Below are 22,248 nucleotides of genomic sequence, written 5' to 3' on the forward strand. Positions count from 1 at the left end.
GCGAGGAATTTTAGCTGTTCAATAGCGTAACAGCTGTGCCTGGGGACCATGAATCACTCATGATTTTCAGTAATCTTTATAACAAACTTCCAATGGCGTTAAATTCAGTTTTTACATGTATGAAGTCTCACTCTGTGAAGAAAAAAAAGGCTGTAAATACAATGCTTTCAAATGAAAGTAGTGATTAGTAATTGACTGTCATCAACTTTGTTTTGCTCTATGGATTACTTCAGCTAGAATTTCTGGTGCTGCAGAAAACTAGTTGAGAAAATAACAACCCTTTATGAGCGATTTCAGGTTTTCTTACCATTTTGCAATCTTCTGCTTTAATTTGTTTTCCATTAGTACATGCTCAAGTGTAGCTTAAAGAAAGAGCACTAAGCTGGAAGTGGGAGACTGAAAGTGTTCCAGCTCTGCCATCGTCTCACTCTGTGACTATGGGCAGGTCATTTTCCTTCTCTGCCTCAGTTTCCTGATCTGTAAAAGGAGGGGATTAAACAGGATAGCCTTGAAGGGTCCCTCCAGCTTTGACGTTTTGCCATTGCAATCAAATATGCCATTTTGATGGATTTTTTTTAAAACAAAAGATGGAATTTGTAACACTGGCATTAGCTGTTTTTTGTTCTTCTTCTTTCTTTTCTCTCAATAATAAGCCTTAGAGGTGGGATTTCAAAATTAGAATTTCCTACAAGCTGCAGCCATAATGATAGAACCATCACAGGAGTACTATTAGAGTTAATATTCTTATCTGTATATATCTAGAGAAGCAAATAACGTTTGAAAATCTTTTCGCTGTTTCTCTCTGGGTTCTTTATTCAAAGGTGTTTATGTAACTAATGTGTCTTAGTGGTAAGAAAAGTGGAAATGCCATGAGTGAAAGAAAATAAAGCCCCCTCATTTTATCTTTGTCCCAGTCTGTCTTTGTGATTGTTTCTCGGCTAACCACCTGTGTTTTACTGCTCAGGGAGCTCAGCATATATCGCTGGCACTCATTCACTGCTAATAGCAGCTGCTAATAGCCTTCCATCTCCTGTCAGGGCTGTCACAGTTGATTTTTTTTTTTTTAACATATCTATGAGTTCCATCAGGTTTAACAGCTGAAAATCCAGCTCATTAAGAAGCGCCCTAAGTATTTCAGAGTGAGCTAGTTTTCCAGCGCCAGGCTTGAGTACAGAATCTGGTGAAAGGGAGTCTAGATATGGATCAAATAAGAACCCGGAGCTTTATGCCCAGAAATTTGGGAGGAGAAAGGGAGTTAAACAGTAAATAGGATACCTTAAGGGATGGGATGTGTGTTTAGTTTGTCAAAAATACCTGATGACCTCATGTACTCCTTCAAAGTCCACGCAGGTACTTTAATATACTGCCATGTGTATAAAAGCAGCTCCAGAACGGTGAGAGGTTTGTTAACATTCATCTCTTCATTCATTTTTGCAGGTAACACTCTGGGCTCTGTTGCTCTTTATGCAGATCGGACAAAGAAAACTCTTAAAATGGTTTCCTGCTATATTTGCCTGCTCTGTTTCAGTCTCTTCTGCAATTCCCTACTCACCTCTCCAAGTTTGTTAATATTGTGGTGCCCCAAGGCTTAGTCCTTGAACTTCATTTCTTCTCTAGCTACACCTATGCCTTTTGTGATTTCATCTAGTATTATGTATTCAAATATCATCGATATGCTAACAACTCTCAAACCTATGTCTCCAGCATGGACCTCTCCTCTAAACTCCAGGATTATATATTTAACTGCCTACTTGCCATTTGCACTTGAATTGGTAGTCGATGTCTCAAACTTAACATGTTAAGAAACTGAAGTATTTCTCAAATCTGTTCATCTTATAGTGTTCCCCATCTCAGGTAGTGGATCCCCCTCCTTCCAATTGCTCAGGCTGAGAACTTTGAAGTTGTTCTTAACTACTCTGTCTCTCTTACACCTCACAACCAATCCATCAGGAAATTCTGTTGGCTCCATGTTAAAAATATATCCTGCATTTGACAACTATTGTCCTCTACTGCTATCGCCCCAAAGCCACGATCATCTCTCCCTTGGATTATTGCAATATCCTCCTCACTGGTGTTCTTGTTTCCTCCTCTGCCCCCTGTAACACTGTATTCTCTTTTTTTCTTTATTTTATTTTTTTATTATTATTTTTGAGACGGAGTCTCACTCTGTCGCCCAGGCTGGAGTGCAATGGCATGATCTCAGCTCACTGCAACTTCTGCCTCCTGCATTCAAGCGATTCTCCTGCCTTAGCCTCCCAAGTATCTGGGACTACAGGGGCCTGCCACCATGCCTGGCTAATTTTTTGTATATTTAGTAGAGATGGGGTTTCGCCATGTTGGACAAGCTGGTCTCAAACTCCTGGCCTCAAACCATCCATCTGCCTCGGCCTCCCAAAGTGCTGGGATTACAGGCATGAGCCACCATGCCCAGCCAACACTGTATTCTCAATGCAGCTTTCACAGTAATGGAATTATTTTAATGGGTAGGCATGTTACTTCTCTGCTCAGAGCCCCACCCCCTGCCCCACAAGTCTCATTTAACTTTGAGTATAAGCCAAAGGTCTTCAGGGTCCATAAGGCCTGATATAATCTGCTTCCTCCCTTCAGTTAACTCTCTGATTTTAGTTTTTAATAATGTCCCCCTCACTCTGCTCCAGCAACCCTGGCCTCCTTTATGTTCCTCAGACACACCAGGCACATTCTTGTCTCAGAGCCTCTGTGTTTGCTCTTCCCAGTGCAGGAATGCCCTTCCCCTGTTACCACGGCTCATTCTCTCATCTTCTTTAGGTCTAGTCCCTGCCTTAGAGTTTACATAGCAATTATCACAATCTACATATATATTAATTCTATGTTAGTATATATAATTATAATTGGTATATATAATTACATATTAGTATATATACTACATAAAATATATAATTATATATACTAATTATAATTATAATATATAAATATATAATTCATATTACTATATAATTATAATTAGTATATATAATTATATATTTTATGTAGTATATATACTAATATGTAATTATATATAATTATAATATATACTAATATATAATTCATATTATTATGTAATATGAATTATATATTAGTATATATTACATATCCTATGTATAATATATAACTATATATTAGTATATTATATATACTATATGTAATGTATAATTATATATTAGTATTATATATACTATATATACTATATAATATATATTAGTATTATATATTACTAATATATATAATATATTACTAATATACATAATTGTATGTTAGTATTATATGTACTATATACTATATAATTATATATAATTTATATAATTAATATATGTTATATATGATATATTTTAATGTATACTATATATGACTTAATATGTTATATATAATATATAATTAATAGATGTTATCTATATATTGCTGTAGTTTGAATGTATGCATCTTTCCAAAATGTGTATGTTGGAAACTAAGACCCAGTGTGATATTATTAAGAGGTGGGAACTTTCAGAGGTGATTACGTCATGAAGGTTCCACATTCATGAATGGAACTAGCTAGGCTAGGCACTTTTGCCCTTCTGCCTTCTGCTTTGTGAGGACACAGCATTTGTCTTCTCTAGAGGATGCAGCAACGACGTGCCATCTTGGAAGTGGAGACCAGACCCTTACCAGATAACAAAACTGCCAGAGCCTTGATCTTGGACTTCTAGCTTCCAGGACTGTGAGAAGTAAATTTCGGTTTTTTGTAGATTACTGGTGTCAGGTATTTTGTTATAGCAGCAAGAATGGACTAAGATATATATACATATACACATATATATACTTGTACATATAAGCATGTGTGTGTGTGTTTATTTATTGTCTTCCTTCACTAGAATGCTTAGTCCATATGACAAGTAGTAGAAAAGTTATTTGTGTGTGTTTTGTTCACTGCTGTATTCCCAGCGGCCAGAGCCAAGGTAGGCACATAGTAGGTGCTCAATTTGTTGAGTGAGTAAATGAATGAAGGCATTATCCAAGACTGGGTGACCATTGTTTGAGACCCAGGCCTCAATGAGACAATATGAAGAGGAAAGGTCATTGGGACTTGTCGTAATGTAGAATTATTACTTGTAGAAATGTATGGTCTCTAGGTGGCCCACCCCACCTAAAGACCATACATTTCCAAGTATCTGCTTGGATCGAATAATGGAATTACAACACTCATGTTTTTGGTAGTCAACTTATAATAAATATAAAAAATATATAAAACTTGTAATAATGGAGGAGCTTGAAGTATAAGCACTCAGTATGAACCTGGTTGGGTGGGTTTATACTAAGCAGGTTTGGAGAGATGAGTTACTGTGACAGTTAATTTTATGTATCAACTTGACTGGGTCACGTGGTGCCTAGACATTTGGTTAAACATTATTTCTGAGTGTGTCTGTGAGGGTGTTTCTGGATGAGATTAGCATTTAAATTAAATTAGTAGACTGAGTAAAGCAGATGGCCCTCCCCAGTGTGAGCGAGCATCATTCAATCCATTGAGGGCCTGAATGGAACAAAAAGGTGGAGGAGAATGCATTATATTAGCTCTCTGTCTCTGCCTGACTGCTTGAGATGGGATACTGGTCTTCTTTTGCCCTCAGACCAGAACTTACACCACTGGTTCTCTTGGTTCTCAGACCTTCAGACTTGGACTGGAACTATACCACAGGCTTTCCTAGGTCTCCATCTAATCAACTGCAGATCATGAGACTTCTCAACCTCCATAATCATGTGAACAAATTCCTTATTTTTAAAACATGTGTATCATCTCCTATTGATTCTGCTTCTCTGGAGAACTCTAATACACTTTATATTTATTCTTATAATGGATGTGTAGTCCCCCATACTCCCCACCTTCATCAATACTCTTTCATAACCAATGGAAGAAGTTATGGAAGAAATTACCAAGTGTGGGAGGCTAGGCCTGCAATTCTTGGTAGTTTTAAAAAAAATTATACATTTTCACTCCTGTTTACCTGAGAATAATGACACAGCAAACAGTGGCAAACAGCTTAAATTTATATTATCTAATATTTCTTCTTTCTTTCAGCTCTGCTGCACTGTCTATTGGTAATCACATTCTTATCTTTGAAATGTTCTCTTACCCTTTTCTTTTTGGACACTAAGTTGTACTGGATAAATATAACTATGTTATACTTCTGAGACCCCTTTTCCATTTACTTTTTTTTTTTTTTTGTAGACTGTCTCTCAAATCTCTCTTTTCCTCCTTAGTCCTATTTCCATTACTCTGGTCCAAGCCCTGATCATCTTATGCCTGGCAAACTTTAATAGCCTTCTGTTTGACTCCCTGGCTTCCAGCTGTTTTTCTCCATGCTGCTTCTTGGCATTCTAATTATCCGGCATTTTGGCAGATGTCTTAGTCTGTTCGGGCTGCTATAATGAAATACCACTGACCGGGCATCTTATAAACAACAGAAATTTATTTCTCACAGGTCTGGAGGCTGGGAAGTCCAAAATCAAGGTGCTGGCAGATTTGGTGTCTGGCGGGGCTCAATTTCTGGTTCATAGATGGTGTCTTCTAGCTGTTGTCCTCACATCAAGAGGGAGCAAGTCAGCTCTCTTGGGCCATTCCTCCTAGATAGCACCTTTTAGCTGTGTCCTTACATGGTAAATGAGGCTAACTAGCTCTTTGTGTTCTTTTTTATAAGGCACTAATCCCAATCGTGAGGGCTTTGATCTCATGATTTAATCTCCCAAAGGCCTCACCTTATAATACCATCACCTTGGGGGTTAGAGTTTCAACATATGCATTTTCAAGGGGACACAAGGATTCAGACCATAGCAGCAAGACTGTGGTTTTAGAATTTGGGGGCTTAAGCAAGCATCAGATACTGCATACGATGGGAGATTGGGAAAGGAGGAAAGAATGCTCATCAGCCTTCAGACTCAACTAGTCTAGAGATCACTACCAGCCCTCAGGTGTGCAGTCTTGTTGAAATATTCTGGGCAGAGGAAGGGGTGGGTGTCTTATACCCAGATTGTGACTTACCTAGGGCTGGGACCAGAAAAAACAAGTACACCAGCATGCAGGCCTCATGGAGACTCCCTATAATTAGAAGGGTCATTGTTTCTAATGCCTGGGCTACAATTTTTATCAAGGTTCTGGACAAGAGAGAAGCCTCTGCTTATTAGCAGAATCTTCATGGAGAATCCTTATACTTTCCCTGTGCTTGCCTTTCTTTGTTGGTGGCATGAGGAGGGATATAGAGAGAGGAGGGTGTGGCAATTATTGTTCTAGTTGACTGGCACTTTCCTTCTCAATTTTCTACCTCTCCTCCCCTACCCCTGCCCAGCCACTTTGGTTTCTCTTGGGCACTGCTCTGCGTCCTAGTCCACTTACATAGTTTTCCCAGGAGCGTCCATTTTGTTACACGACACTAGCCTCATGGCTACCTGGTCTGGACACTTGAATCAAGTTGGTCAATGAGTTCCTTCCTCAGAGTTTCTGTATTTGAGGTCAGAGTATACTTCAGTTCTCTCTCTGTGTGTAGTTGGCTTTGTTAAAATGTGAAGCTCTGGAGTTGTTGGTGATGGCAGCAAGAAGAAAGAATGAAGTTATAATTCAGATAGCAATAGTGACAAGAGACATGCAGAGGCCTGGCTCATTCTGTGGCACCAGTGTAGTTGTTTCTGAGGCCCAGGGAGATTCCTGGCTTTTGATTCCCTAAAGCAGTAATGATGATACTTCATGTTGACATCATGCTTCAAGCACTTTAAATAACTTATTTAAGTCTCATAATAATCCTGTGAGGAAGATAGTATTATCATTTCCATTTTACACATGAAAAAACTGAGGCAGAGGGAGGCTGAGTAGCTTGCTCAAGGTCACAGAGTCAGGACTTGTACCCTTGTAGTTAGATTTCATTCTCTTCACATTATACCTCCAATCTTTGTAGCAATTATCTAAATCACCCTTGCCTAAGCCAGTTCAAGGACCCTGCTACCACCATCCCTAGGCAAGAGACAGGGTCCTAATAGATGGAATTACTTTTTGTATGCCCAACTTTAGAAGTTTAATTCTCTCTGGCTCTTTCTCCTTTGTTGCCTCCTTTCTTCTCCTTTTCACTTGCCCCTTCCTTTCTTCTTTTCTTCATTTCTTCTCCCGAGCTCACGCTCTCCCTTTTTGAAATTTGTCAATCATTCTCCCTATTTTCTTGATTATTCTTAACAACATGCAATGGTATTGTCATTTTCCATATTAAAAACTGCTCTCTTGACTCCATTTCCCCCTTCAGTTTCAGCCCCATTTCTATGCTCCTCTGTACAACCAAATTCTTTAAAAGGGTTATGCATATTCAGCTTGCAATTCTTCTGCTTTTATACTCTCCTAAACTTACTTGTCAGGCGTGTGCCCTCCACCACTCTACTGAAACTGCAAGTTTACAAGTGACCTCCACATTGCTAAATCCAGAGGTCATTTCTCACTTCTTACATTAATTGCCTTTTCAGCAGCATTTGACACCTTCACTCCATCCTTGTTCACTTCCTCACTTGGCTTCTAGGATGCTACACTCTCATGGTCCTTTTCAGTGTCACTTGTTGGTTTTTCTTATATCCCTGGCCTTTTAATCTTGGCGTTCTCCTGGCCTCAGTCCTTGGACCTTGGTCATCTCCTTGGTAATCTCATTTAGTTTCACGACTTTAAATACCGTCTGAAAGCTGATGATTTCCAACTGTATATTTGCAACTTGGACCTCTTTTCTAACCTTCAGATTCCTTTATTCAACTGCCTACTTGGCATTTCCACCTGAAAGAGATTCAGCATCTCAAACTTAACATCTCCAAATCTGATCTTCCTTCTCAAATCTGCTCCTTCTGTAGTCTTCCCCATCTTGGTAAGTTCCACTGGTTTGTGCCAAGAAGCTTCATTCTTCATTCCACTCTTTCTCTTACAGCCTGTATTCAATTCATTCACATGTTCAAAATACATCTAAAATCATACCATTTCTCATAACTTCCAATGCTACCACCGTGGTCCAAAGTCACTTTTATTTCTTTTCTTTTCTTTTTTCTTTTTCTTTTCTTTCTTTTTTTTTTTGAGAAGGAGTCTCGCTCTGTCGCCCAGGCTGGAGTGCGGTGGCGGGATCTCGGCTCACTGCAAGCTCCGCCTCCCGGGTTCGCGCCATTCTCCTGCCTCAGCCTCCCGAGTAGCTGGGACTACAGGCGCCCGCCAACACGCCCGGCTAATTTTTTGGATTTTTTAGTAGAGACGGGGTTTCACCGTGTTAGCCAGGATGGTCTCGATCTCCTGACCTTGTGATCCGCCCACCTCGGCCTCCCAAAGTGCTGGGATTACAGGCGTGAGCCACTGCGCCCGGCCACCTTTATTTCTTAACTAGATTATTGCAATGGCCTCCAACGGGTCTCCCTATTTCCTCCCTTACCGTTTACAGTTTACTTTCCACTCAGCATCCAGAGTGATCCTTTGAAAATGCTAGATATATCATGTCTCTTCTCTGCTCAAAACCCTACGATGGCCCCAGTTTTCACGCAGAATAAACCCTAGAGTCCTTACAGTGGCCTATATGGTCCTATTGGATCTGGGCTCCTGTTACCTTTCTGAATTCATCTTCTCCTATGTTACCGTTTTCCCCCCTATACTCCAAGTGTACTGTACTCCTTGCTGTTTTTGAATACATTAGGTAAGTTCCTGCTTCAAGACCTTAGCATTTGCATTTCCCTCTGCCTAGAACACTTCCCTTCCGGATATATATGTAATCCATTCTCTTACCTTTAAAAAATCTTTGCCCAAATGATGTTTCCTCAGGTGTTCAAATATCACCCTATTTAAAATTCAATATGGCCCACCAATATTCTCTATCCTCTTTCCCATTTTTATCTTTTTCCTTAGCACTTAGTACCTTCTCATATATTATATAATTTATTTACTTTGTTTATTGTTAGTCTACTTGTGCTATGGATTGAATTGTGCCCCCTCCCATTTATATGTTGAAGCCCTAACCCCCAAAGTGATGGTATTTGGAGATGGGGCCTTTGAAAGGTAAATAGGGGGAGATGAGGTCATAAGGATGGGCCCTCATGATGGGATTAGTGCTCTTATAAGAAGAGATATTAGAGAGCTTTCTCTTTCTCTCCCCCAACTTCTCTCTTTCTCTTCAATGTAAGACTGTAAAAAAGTGGCCATCTGCAAACCAGGAAGAGAGCCCTCACCAGGAAACCAAATCAGTCAGCAATTTGATCTTGGACTCTTCAGCCTCCAGAACTGAGAAATAAACTTCTGTTGTTTGAGCTACCTAGTCTATGGCATTTTGTTATGGCTGCCCAAGCTGATGGAAACAGCCCCCTACCCCATCCCTAGAGCATAAGCTCAAGGACAAGAAGCTTTGTCTGATTGCTTACTGTTGTATCATCAATGCCTAGAATAGTTGTCTAGCATGTAGTGGGTGCTCCGTAAATATTTGCTAAGTAAATGCATGGATGAATGAATCAGATATGGTCCTTGCAGAGAGGATGACATGTACATGAGCACACTATGAGGTGGACAGTGGTTAAGTCACATGATGAAGGTACAGATAAAGGGTTCTGAGGGCTCGAAGAAACGGAGAGGTCATTCAGAGATGGAGAGGGAGTGAGGGGAATCCAGGAGGGCTTGATGGAGAAGGTAGCATTTGAGTTAGACCTTGAAGGAAGGGTAGGTTTTAGACTTGTGAATGTATGGGGAGGCACAGGGAGTTCAGTCTGGCTGAAGTAGTGTATTTGAAGAGTAGTAGAAGTGGAAAATACAATTAGAATGAAGTCTGGAGCAAAATCGTAAAAGGCCCTGAATGCCAGGGTAAGGAGATTTGTCTTTAGGTGTGGTATGAAGTGGAGCGGATATGAAGGTTATAGAATTGTCAGTAAAACTTTGAGTCATCAATCAATGATAGTTTCTGATTTAACTTTTGGTTCTTTACTCAATTAATTGTCTCTTACCTAACTCCAAGTTCTTTAGGAGCTTGATGATATGGTTCCTAACCATAATAGACAAGAAGCAAACAAGAAGAAAGAGGAGAGATTGGATATGAAAACAGATATACTTCCAGGGAGAAAGGGAAAATAGCTCGATGGCTTCTTGGCTTGAAGGATGAAGATGGAACCCTCAACTTCAGGCTTAATACCTCTGTGACTGTGCAATCTAATAACTAAAGTTATCAGTGGCAGCATGGATCCATAATGCAGAGGAGAAGTCAGGACAGGTCTGGAACCTTTTAACAACATGGGAAAGGATGTAAAGTATCTCAGAAATGTTTACAATTTTTTTTAATTTAAAATGATTTTTAAAAGATTGGTACTGGAAGGGGAACGTTTCAACTATCTGGTAAGCTCACTTATATTAAATACTATAAACAAGGCATGATTGTAATACTGGTTTTACCAAGTGCTGCATGCACTGCTCTGTGTGTGTGTGTGTGTGTGTGTGTGTGTGTGTGTGTGTGTCTGTGTGTGTGTGTGTGTGAGAGAGAGAGAGAGAGAGAGAGAGAGAAAGACAGAGAGAAGGCTGTATTAAGTGAAAAACACTGAATTCAGCATTCCAGGTTTTTCTCTCCTGAACTGGTTCAAATGGGTAGAATATGTTTCATTAGTGTATTAAAACTCATCCACACCCTTGATTCTTTGAGTTCCTCTTCATACTCCTCAAGAATAATGTCTCAGATTCATCTGTACATCCCCTATTGTCTGGCAGAATGTCTTAAGACAGATTAAGCACTTGAACCACATATGAATTGAAATATTGAATTTCACATCTTGAGGCCCAGCCACATGAAACAGACTGTTTTACTGGTGTGGGCACAAAACTTACTTTCTTAAAAGGGGATAAGATGATGCTTTATGTTTTTCTTTCTTTCTTTCTTTCTTTCTTTCTTTCTTTCTTTCTTTCTTTCTTTCTTTCTTTCTTTCTTTCTTTCTTTCTTTCTTCTTTCTTTTTTTAACTCTGCTTGGAATTTCTTGCCTTTTTATGATACCAACCACCCATTGGGCAGATGTCTTCAGGGACGTCAACAACGCCTAGTTCCTTTCCTGTGCTAGAACTGATGGTTTGGAGCCTAACATCTCGTAAGCAGTGTTTGGCTCATTTTTTCCTAAATGCAGTACTTTATACTTGCTCATATTGAAGCTCATCTGTCACTCCTTCACATGGAAATGCAAACTTGAAGGCATATCCTGTCATTTATGCATTGACTTAGAATTTCAAAATGTGCAAAGAATTAGTATGCCAATCATTTATAAATCTTATTGTTTAAAATATATTTTATTATAATAAGTGATTCTATAGAGCTTACCATGTGATGGGCATTATTCTAAGTAATTTATAAATATTAACGCTTTTAATGAAGTTACTCCTGGTACCACTTTGGGAACTCTCACTTTACCTTTCATCAGTCTTCCTGCTATTGGTGCTTCTTTACATAGAGACTTCAGGTAGAATTTAGTGTGTGAATTTGGATGGAAAAGTTAAATTCATATTTTTACTAACCTCTAACTGAAAATTGGCATTTTCTTTCCTTATAAATGTAGGCTACAATCTACAGAGATGTTAGCAGTACCTGTGCCTTTTTCATCAGCATCACAGATATTATCATATCACATGATATTGCGGATTTCTTGAGCTGTTTATGCTCATCACTACTTCGGAACTGAAGTGGTTATTAGGCTTGTTGCTGTTTCATATTGCTATTTCAGGTGTTAAAGGAGCATATATGTTACTATATCACAAACATGTTTTAAAAATATTTTGAGAAGTATACTATTTCAATATCCAGATGGTCCCCAACTTACAATGGTTTGACTTACATTTTTCAACTTTATAATGGTGTGAATGCAATGTATGTTCAGTAAAAATTGTATTTTGAGTACTCATACAGGTTTCTGTTTGGTGCTGTTTTTCTGTTTCAGTACAGAAACAGATTCCATTTTTCACTTTTCAGTATGGTATTCAACACATTACATGAGATATTCGACACTTTATTATAAAATAGGCTTTGTGTTAATTTTTTGCCCAAATGTAGGCTAAAGTGTTCTGAGCATGTTTAAGGTAGGCTAGGCTAAGCTATGATGTTTGGCAGGTTAGGTGTATTAAATGCATTTTTGACTTATGACATTTTCAACTTACGATAGTTTTATTGGGATGTAACCACATAGTAAGTCAAGGAGCATTTGTAGTTGGTTTCCTTTGTATTTTATTTTATTCATTTAAAAAATGTTATTCTGATAAGGAGTTCATGTGCTTCACCAGACTTACAAAGGGGTTCATGGCACCAAAAAATATTCAGAACCCCTACTTTATATTCCCTCAGCTATAACAGGCAGAGGCTGGAGCTGAAGTGGGGTAGAGATAGGGAGAACTCAGGAATCTTACATTCTCATCCCAGCTCCATCATCCACTTAGCTGTGCGACCTAGGGTATAGCTCTTCATCTTTTGAGACTTGTTTTCCTTAGCTGCAATAATGGTGAGGAAGTCATCTGCCCCTGCTAGTTCACAATGTGTTGTGAAGATCAAATGACATAATGCTTGTGCACGGAGTTGCTTTGAAAACAGCTTAAAGCATCATATAAGGTATTTATTGAGGAATAGTAACAAGTTAAGGTTTCAGAGGTCCGATGCCACAGAGGACTATTCATATTCAAACAGACTTGGAGTGAATGCAGTTCGGTAGAACACCCTTTAATGTGTCTTGTATACCATTTCCACCCAAGATCTGATGTCATCTCCATAGGGCTCTATAGCCTTGAATGTGCATACCTGTTTGTATAATCAATTCTTTTCTTTCCTTCTGTTGCCCCAATAATTAATTGCTTTAGTATGCCTTTGAGGTCATCCTCCCAGATAGAAAACTTAAGCAAGCTTAGAACTTCAAAGCTTACTGTCAAACTGAAAAACTGGGTTGATGTTATGAATCTTGGGAAATGGTAGAGGAGATAGGACCTCCTTGGCCTTCTTGTTAATGGGATGTGGTCTATCTTGTAATGGGAGTGGGTAGAATTGGAAGGATACTTAGACTGTATCAGAAGACAGTAGAAGGAAGTTTCCCCACTGTGTTTGGCTTGGGCCAAGCACTACCTAACTCTAATGGAGCATTGTTCAGTAAAATCTCCTGAATTTCTCTGAGCCAGCAGGTCTCCTTCTTTTAAGTTATTGTGTGGCCCATTACTATGAAGGTAGCTCTGGTTTCATTAAAGCATTGTTGATATGACTATTGGTTGGATAATGATTATAGCTATTTATTGAGCACTTACTTTGCCAGGCATAGTACTGGGCACTTTACATTGATCAACACCTCATAAATGAAACTTCAAGGGAAATATACGATTTTCACTTTAAAGATTTAAAAAAGGCTCAGAGAAGTGACAGTGTTATAAAGTGACTTGGGGCACCATGACTGTGTCATTTAGCAGGCTCCCCTACCAGAATATAAGCTCTTGGGGGAAGGGGACATGTTGTGTTCACCTTTGAATTTCCAGGACTAAGACTTGCACATATCAGGTGCTCTATAATGGCACATGAATGAACAATATGGGGTTTATAATAATATTACCAATTAGGTTGATATGAAGATTAAATAAAATATTGGAGCAGTGGAAAGTTTTAAGCTTGTGATTGGAGAGACCAAGATTCAAATTTCATTTCTGCCTCTTAAAAACTTAAGCAAGTGGCCGGGCACGGTGGCTCACGCCTGTAATCCCAGCACTTTGGGAGGCCGAGGTAGGCGGATCACGAGGTCAGGAGATCGAGACCATCCTGGCTAACATGGTGAAACCCTGTCTCTACTAAAAATACAAAAAAAAAAAAAAAATTAGCTGGGCATGGTGGTGGGTGCCTGTAGTCTCAGCTACTCAGGAGACTGAGGCTGGAGAATGGCGTGAACCCAGGAGGCGGAGCTTGCAGTGAGCTGAGATCACGCCACTGCACTACAGCCGGGGTGACAGCAAGACTCCGTCTCAAAAAAAAAAAAAAAATTAAGCAAGTTACTTCACATCTCCAAGTCTCAGCTGAAATGGAGGCTAATACATTTACTTTTCGCATTGTAGTAAACATTAAATATATATATGTGTGTATATACATATACGTGTGTGTATATATATGTATATACATGCATGCATATATCCTGGTAAGTAGGAATCACTAAATAATGTTAGCTTTTATCATTATTAGTGCATATGAATGTAGTTTATTTTTATTTTTTATTTTTTTGAGACAGAGTCTCACTCTGTCACCCAGGCTGGAGTGCAGTGGCATGATCTTGGCTGACTGCAACCTCCGCCTTCCAAGTTCATGCGATTCTCCTGCCTCAGCCTCCCGTGTAGCCAGGATTACAGGTGTGCACCACCATGCCCGGCTACTTTTTATATTTTTTTAGTAGAGACAGGGTTTCACCATGTTGGCCAGGCTGGTCTCTAACTCTTGTCCTCAGGAGATCTGCCCACCTTGGCCTCCCAAAGTGCTGGGATTACAGGCGTGAACCACTGCGCCCAGCCTGAATGTAGTTTAAAATGCTACACAAATACTAATGTAACAAACCTTTACTAAACACCTACAGCGTACCAGGTTCTGGGGATATGGCAGTAAACAAGAAAAACGAGAACCATACTCTCATGCAACTTATACTCTGGAGGTAGGGTGGGGGCATAGATAGTAATAGCTCAGGTGTCAAGAGCACGAGGTCATTACCACCTTATCCACACAATTCATGGGTAGTCAGCACTGAATATTTTCACAATTAGCTTTTATGGCTTTGGCTAAAGGGTGAAAGACTTAAGTTCAGTGTGTCGCAGCTACCCTTCTAGCTTTTTGAAGGCAGGGGACAGCCATACTCCTTTTGTGTCCCATTGTGCCTGATAGTGTTTGGGACAGAGTAAATGTTTAGAATATGTATAAACAGCTGAATTTCGTCTCTTGAAGTCCAGCAACATGATGTGGTCCCACAATTCTATGTATGAATACAAAAACTTTTTTTTTTTTTTTTTTTTGCAGACAGACTCTCACTCACTCTGTCGCCCAGATTGGAGTGTAGTGGAGTGATCTCGGCTTACTGCAACCTCTGCCTCAAGCGATTCTCCTGCCTCAGCCTCCCAAGTAGCTTGGATTACAGGTGCCTGCCACCACGCCTGACTAATTTTTGTATTTTTAGTAGAGACGGGGCGGGGGGGGCGGGTCTCACTATGTTGGCCAGGCTGGTCTCGAACTCCTGACCTCAAGTGATCTGCCTGCCTCGGCCTCCCAAAGCGCTGGGATCACAGGCGTGAACCACTGCTCCTGGCCCACAGAAACATTTTTTAAAATGTGAGTAAGGTCATGAACTTTGGTTGAATCACAATCATACCTCTTATTGAGAACTCACTATGGGCCAAGCACTGGTTGAGCAATTTGCAGACGCTATCTTGTTCACTCTTTCCTGCCATTCTGTGAGGTAGGTACTATTTCTTCTTAATTTTGCCTGTAAGGAAATTGAAGCTCTTGTTGTGTCCATGTGACTCGCCTGAAGACACACAGACAGAGACTTTGGGCATCATGACTACCTAATAGGTGCTCAGCAGATGGTAGCAACTGTGGTAGAAAATGAAGCCATATCTACATGATGTACCATCTAAGACAGCTGAGAATCCCAAGGGCTCACACAGTTCTACTGGGCGAGTTAAAACTTCTCACACATTTATGCTATCTTTTCAAATAATACAGTTTATTCTGCCTTATATGAAAAGCATACATTTTGGGGCCAAAATTAAAAAAAAACTCTATATAACTTGAATGCAGATGTGTCTTTAATTTTCTATGAAAAATAACCTTCATTTGCATTGAAGACATTTAACAAGCAACTTGGTAATAATAAAGTCAGAATTAGAGATGTCACAGGACTAGGGAAGGAGATAAAAAAATCATTTGTAAAACAAAAGAAACCTTCCATTCATTATTATATTGAAGAAACGCTAACTACTGTATCTCATAAACATAACAAAACAGCAATATTTCAAAATTCTGGAGGAACAACAGAACCATAAATAGCACTGAGACTTTGTAGGAAAAAGCAGCTTCATTAATAGATTTCTATGATGGATGAAAAGGTTTGTGAGAGATGGTATGTGCCACAATTTGATTGTGTAATATAATGTATATTCATATGTATATATCTATGCTTATCTATATATAGATATATATGAGAGAGATCTATTTATTTTAAGGAATTGGCTCTTGCAATTATGGGGGCTGGCAAGTTAGAGATTTGTAGGGCAGGCCGGCAGGCTGGAAGTTCTGGCAGGAGTTGGATGTTGCAGTTTTGAGTCCAAAGGCAGTCTCGAAGCAGAATTCCCTCCTCAGGGGACTTCAGTCTTTTCTCTTAAGGCCTTCAGCTGATCAGATGAGGTCCACCCACATTATAATGGGTAATCTGTTTTACTCAAAGTCTACTGGCTTAAATGTTAATCACATTTAAAATATACCTTCACAGCAATATCTAGACTGGTGTTTGACCAAGCAACTGGGCACTATAGCCTAGCCAAGTTGCCACACAAAATTAACCATAAAAACTAGTATATTCAAGCAAACTGGGAGGAGTATACCTATACTAAACTGGCAGGAGTAACAGAAACAGACAATCTGCAATGTAAGTTGATTAAGTGAAGGAGAGTAAGGTATTTAGGTGTGGCAGCTGTTGCTTTAAAAATTTTTTTTAATGTATTAATATCATGGTAAGGAGTTTGATTTTTTTTCTTTTATTTTTTAAGTAAGTTCCGGGGTACATGTGCAGGATGTGCAGGTTTGTTACATAGGTGAACGTGTGCCATGGTGGTTTTGCTGCACCTCAACCCATCACCTAGGTATTAAACCCCGCATGCATTAGCTCTTTTTCCTACTGCTCTCCCCTAAAAATTAATTTAGTTTATTTAAACAAGAAATAACTGTAAATGGAAAGTTTCCCTTGATTTCATAGATATTATTAAAATTAGGTATTCCAAGAGCCCGAGACTGATGAATCAAAGCCTTCCGTAGCATTGATGAGAGATGCATCAGTGAGCAAGCTAGTGTAAAATTAACCTGAGCTTCCTGCTGGTGCCACAGCAGGGTGCTTCAGGGGGAAGCCAGTTTTCAGCACGAATGGGCTGCTGTGGAACCCTGTTTCCAGTTGTCAAGACAGACTTGGCATCTTTTTCCAACATTCTAGTAACCCAAAGGAAGGAACTGAGATAACTACTAATGGATTACTTAGAGCGTAAGTCATTAAAAACAGGACACAAAACTGAGGTATAAAAAGGAATATTTATCTTTTAAAAATACAACTTTGAACACTACTGGCATCTCATTTACAAAGTATTTTTGTGAAATACTCTCCATTGGCTTTGCTTGCTCAGTACATTCTTTTATCTTCAATTGAGACTCAAGGGAGGGTATGCTTGCATTATTATAAATACCACAACCACCACCACACACAATAAAGACCATCTCTGCCTCAGGACATTCGCCCCAAACCTCCATCCTCTCTGTTTACTTTCCACCAAGCAGAAGTTTCTGAATGGTCCACTCACATGCTGCCATTGCGATTTGCCGATGGGCACTACCAAGGTGTCTCTGGCAATTCGCACTCCAGGTGGAGCTGACCTATTTGTAGAAAGCCTCACAAACCCTAGCTCATTATTTATTCATTGATTCATTACTATTAATACTTATATCAAGTCTTTGCAAACATTCAGCATGAAGTAAACATAGTATTTACAGCAGTACTCGGTTTGCAATTCAACACACTGACAACAGAAGCAAAGGGACCAACAGACTGTAAGAAGGCCAGAGGGGAAAGAATATTAATATAAATCCCTTCTGCCACTGTGTGCGTGCGTGTGTGTGTTTGTGCGTGTGTGCCCACACATGAGCATATTTTAATTCACAGAAAACTGAACATGCCCTCCTTTAAAAGCAGACTATTTACAAGTGATTCTGAATAGCATGAACACATGCCAGTCATACTGGATACTTGCTTTCTGTAAACACATCTAGATGTACTTTTTACAATTCTGAAACAGATCTTTAATGTGATATGTTAGAGAAAATAACTTTGGAACATTTGTCAACTTTTGGTTCATAGTAATTTTGCAAAAAGCCACAAACCATGCTTTGTCGTTTAAAAGGTGAACCTGGTCAGGCACCTTCTAGAAGACACTGATGTGTTATTTATTTACTGGTCTACTGGGGATTGGAAAGACAATGGCAGTTACACAGAGGACTTAGTGCTGCTCTCATGCCTTTCACCAGTAACAACATTAATGTAAAGAGAAGTTTAGAAACACAAATCACATACAAATCATCAAAACATTTCAGTTAACAGTGTTTAAAAAAATACCAAGGTCTACAACAGTAGTACAGACACTGAAAACACTCCAAATACTGTTTAGCATCAGGACTTTTGCAATATTTAAAGACAACCAATTGACAGAAAGGGGAGGAAGTTACAGCACTTGTGGTTTGAGGCAATTTCTCTTTAGGGCCTGTAGTTCGAGGTGCTGTCCTAGGATCCTTATTTTAACTCAAAAGATTTTCCAGGAATGAACTGACAAATTCAAAGGAACTTCCACTTGAAAACCATTAAAAATATAAATCACTTTCTATGCTTGTCCAACACATATTTATCTTCAGGATCCCAAGTTGTTAGGCAAAGAGATTTAGGTCAGCTTCAAGCCCTCGAAGCCACAGAATTTCCATCTCTTTTCCAGGCTGGCTCCAACTCCAGTCATTTCCTGCTTGAAGGTATGCTGGAGTCTACCCATGAGACACTCCACATCGCTGGTGCAGATCTGTGGGACAGAGAGAACATCTCCATTCAAAACCAGTTCTATTTTCCTAATCTTCTTTCCCAGTGTTGCCTACTTTAGAATGCTGATGTGTCTGTGTGTGTGCTGCAGGGGCGTTTAACCTCCTCCTGCTCCTTGCGCATTTGTGTGTGTTGGCAGAGTGGCTTCCAGCCAGCAGCGTTCCTCTGCTGTGACCATCAGACAGGGTCTGCTGAGTTGCTATTGGAAAGAGCTGGGGTCAGTCATGTGGAAACGCCTGGGTTTGTAAGAAGCTGAATGATGGCTGCTCAGTTCTAGTGATGCTGCGTGCAGGTCCACTGAAGCTGCTGAGCCTTTTGGGAGGGGAGGAAGGTAGAAATGGCTGCCACCAGAGCAGAATCCCTCACAAATGCGTTAGTTCATAATGGAGAAGTAACAGGAAGGGGGAAATCGCTGTGTTCATACTTCTCTGCATCCCCATCTCTCTCTCTCTCTCTCTTTCACACACACACACACACACACACACACCCCTCAATACGAAAACAAAAACAAATCTGTGGACTCCTTTAGGACTTGTTTTAGGTGGTCATCTTCACATTAGTAGAGTTAGTAAGTTACCCTCCTCACTATGAGCCTTGGCACCAGGGCTTGGGTAAAGAGCACCAGGGGATCCTGAAAGACACCCAGAGTTGGTGTCACAGTGAATATCCCTGGAGCTGGAGGGAGCCCCGATTCTGTTGGTATCACCTCAGGCTCTCTTTGGGAGACCCTGGCACTACTCCGGCAGGAAGTTGCTAAGGCGGAGCTAGGCCTAGGCTAGGAGGGCAGTTATGCCTTCTTCCCAGTGCTGGCAGTAGACTGTATCCAGTCAAGTGAATGAAGCACATTCCAGGGTATCATATAGAGTTGAATCCCCATTTCAGAAAACATAGATAATGTGTATAGATATATACATTTAATATAGGTACAGCACACTTGCAGGAAAGGGTCTGAAATATGTGCCCAACTGTTAACAGTGGTTATCCTTGAGCAGTGGGATTGTGCGTGGTAACTTGCACTTTACTAGATTTCTACACTGCTTACATTTTTAAGATAATGTGCATGTATTATTTTTGTAAATTAAAAAATAAGCAGATGGTTTTTACTGACACATAGTTCAATTTAATACCATTGCAATGGACTACTTGGTCCTAGTATTCACATTCCATCCTCCCCTTCACTGCCAAATGGGCTATTTAATTGCAGAATAGCATCACTTCCCAGAGGGAAATGAGGGGGCAGTGCTAGCTAGAATGAAAGCAAATGCCATTGAAGAGGATGTATCACCACAGCTGGGATGTGGTTAGAACAATAAGATTCCCAAGTGGGCCACTGTCTTTGTTAAGAGAACATATGCTTAAATGACTTAACATTTTGGACAGCACCTATATTCAATGGCACTTCTCAAAAGGCCCAGATCCTATGAAATAGGCAGTACAATTTATGGGCACATTTCACTGAATGCTGCTTCTGAAAAAAAAAATGTATCCTGAGCTGATTCATTCTGAGGAGTCAAGAGTCCCCTCCTGCATCTTAGAGGCATCCTTGATTTCCTAGGGAATTAGCACTTACCCCTGCTCCAGATGCCCTAGGAGTTCCCCCAAAGGATAGCATCCAGAGAAGGAAATGGACCATGAGATCATCTGTGAGCAAATATTCAGTCTGTGTTACAGAGGCTCTCAGCTCATTGCTCCATCTTTTTTTTTTGGCACCTGCCTCCCTTGTTTTGTAATAGATAATAGCAGGGGTGATGGTGGGAGAGGTGGATGGAATAAGACTTCCCATTTTGAAAATGAACATTGGATAATGGCTAAAAACCAGGGACAAAAGTTTGATGGGGCCGGGTACGGTGGCTCATGCCTGTAATCCCAGCACTTTGGGAGGCCGAGGCAGGCGGCTTGCTTGAGTCCAGGAGTTCAAGGCCAGCCTGGGCAACACGGCAAAACCCTGTTTCTATAAAAAATACAAAAATTAGCCAGGCATGGTGGCATGCATCTGTAGTCCCAGCTACTCAGGAGGCTGAGGTGGGAGGATTACTTGAGCCCAGGAGGTTGAGGCTACAGTGAGCTGTGATCTCACAAATGCACTCCAGCCTGGGCAACAGAGTGAGACCCTGTCTCAAAAAAAAAAGTTTGGTGGGTAAGAAAGCTGATATGGGTTGGTTTGCAGCTTACAGGTAAATTAAGAGAGGAAAAGTCTTCTAAGATATATGTTGGAAAAAGGATGGTCAACTTATTCAAGTTTGCCTGAGACTGCCCTGGTTTTAACATCGAAAATCTCAAGTCCCAGGAAACACTTCAGTCTCCAGCAAACCAGGACACATGGGTCATCCCACTTGCAAAGGGGAAGCTCTGCACTGAATCACAGTGAGAGAGCAGGTGAGGGAAACTTCCTGAAAGCAGTAACTAATGACCTATTTATGCTTGAGGAGAGTCAGGTCACCTGTTAACAAAAAATCCCACATCCCCTTGCATCCCCATTTTAGGCCCCCATATACCTTATTATCAAGACGGTGCAAGTAGGAACAGATGTATTCAATGCTTGCTCCAAATGGGTGAACATGAAGGAATGTGGAGATAATCCCTACAGAGACAAGAGCATGGAGGTTATACTTGAGCCTTGTATTTCTCGAGGTTCCACATGACAGTGAATAGCAAGAGCTGACTCATATGTACAACAGAAATATACTGGACACTATTCTAAGTTTACACGTATTTTACTCATTTAATCTTTATAATAATCCCATGAGGTGTGTATTGTCATCCCCAGTTCACAGCTGAGGACACAGATGCACTAAAAGTGTAAGCAACTTGTCCAAGGTCACACAGCTGGTAAGTGGCAGGGCTGGTATTTGAACCCAGACAGTCACATACTGCCTCTTACTGTGCTATATCACATGTAGAAAAGCTGGCATTTGAGGAGTCACTTTCATTACTTGTGATGGCTAAACACTGTCTGAATTCAAGGATTTTACAATGAATTTACACTGTGCTGGGCTTTTGCAGTTCCTTCACAGTCTTTAAATTAGACTTTAGCCTCTTAGGTGTTAATAATGCCTTGCTGTTGTGGTAAAAGTAAAAATCATGTACTTTCCTGATTAACCTTGTGCCTCTCACAAGAAAGTCTGCTGATTGTATTTGGGTATTATTTTGTGAACAGCTCTGTAAAGAAAAGTCAAACATTTCATTCACGGCTAACTCAAGTGGTCACTAGCATTCCATGCTTAGAGCCTTGAATCTCTTTGTGTAACAGAATTCTTATAGCAGTTTACAGCCTCCAGGAATGCCCCTGATTTCCACTTAGCCTAACTCTGGGGTGGCTGGCAGCTTCACATGCTGCCTTCATTGTTCTGGCCATTAGGTTAATTGTTTAATACTTCTTTCTCTGGGAACAGGTGGAAAATAAATTTTTCA

The 22,248-nt window shown here is 40.1% G+C and overlaps 1 protein-coding gene across 20 annotated transcripts in view; it reads right to left on the bottom strand.

Moving 5' to 3' along the window:
- The window catches only part of ENOX2 (ecto-NOX disulfide-thiol exchanger 2), a 280,885-nt gene continuing 274,336 nt past the window's right edge, over positions 15,700 to 22,248 (bottom strand). For all 20 annotated transcript variants that reach the window (NM_001382521.1, NM_001281736.2, NM_001382520.1 and 17 more), the window contains 2 exons: positions 21,333 to 21,418; positions 15,700 to 18,820 (listed from right to left, as the gene is read on the bottom strand). In NM_001382521.1, coding sequence (NP_001369450.1) covers positions 18,689 to 18,820; positions 21,333 to 21,418 — 218 coding nt within the window. In that variant the 3' untranslated portion in view covers positions 15,700 to 18,688. The remainder of the gene's footprint in view (positions 18,821 to 21,332; positions 21,419 to 22,248) is intronic.

Source organism: Homo sapiens, chromosome X (genome assembly GCF_000001405.40).
Source record: "Homo sapiens chromosome X, GRCh38.p14 Primary Assembly".
Lineage (NCBI taxonomy): Eukaryota > Metazoa > Chordata > Mammalia > Primates > Hominidae > Homo > Homo sapiens.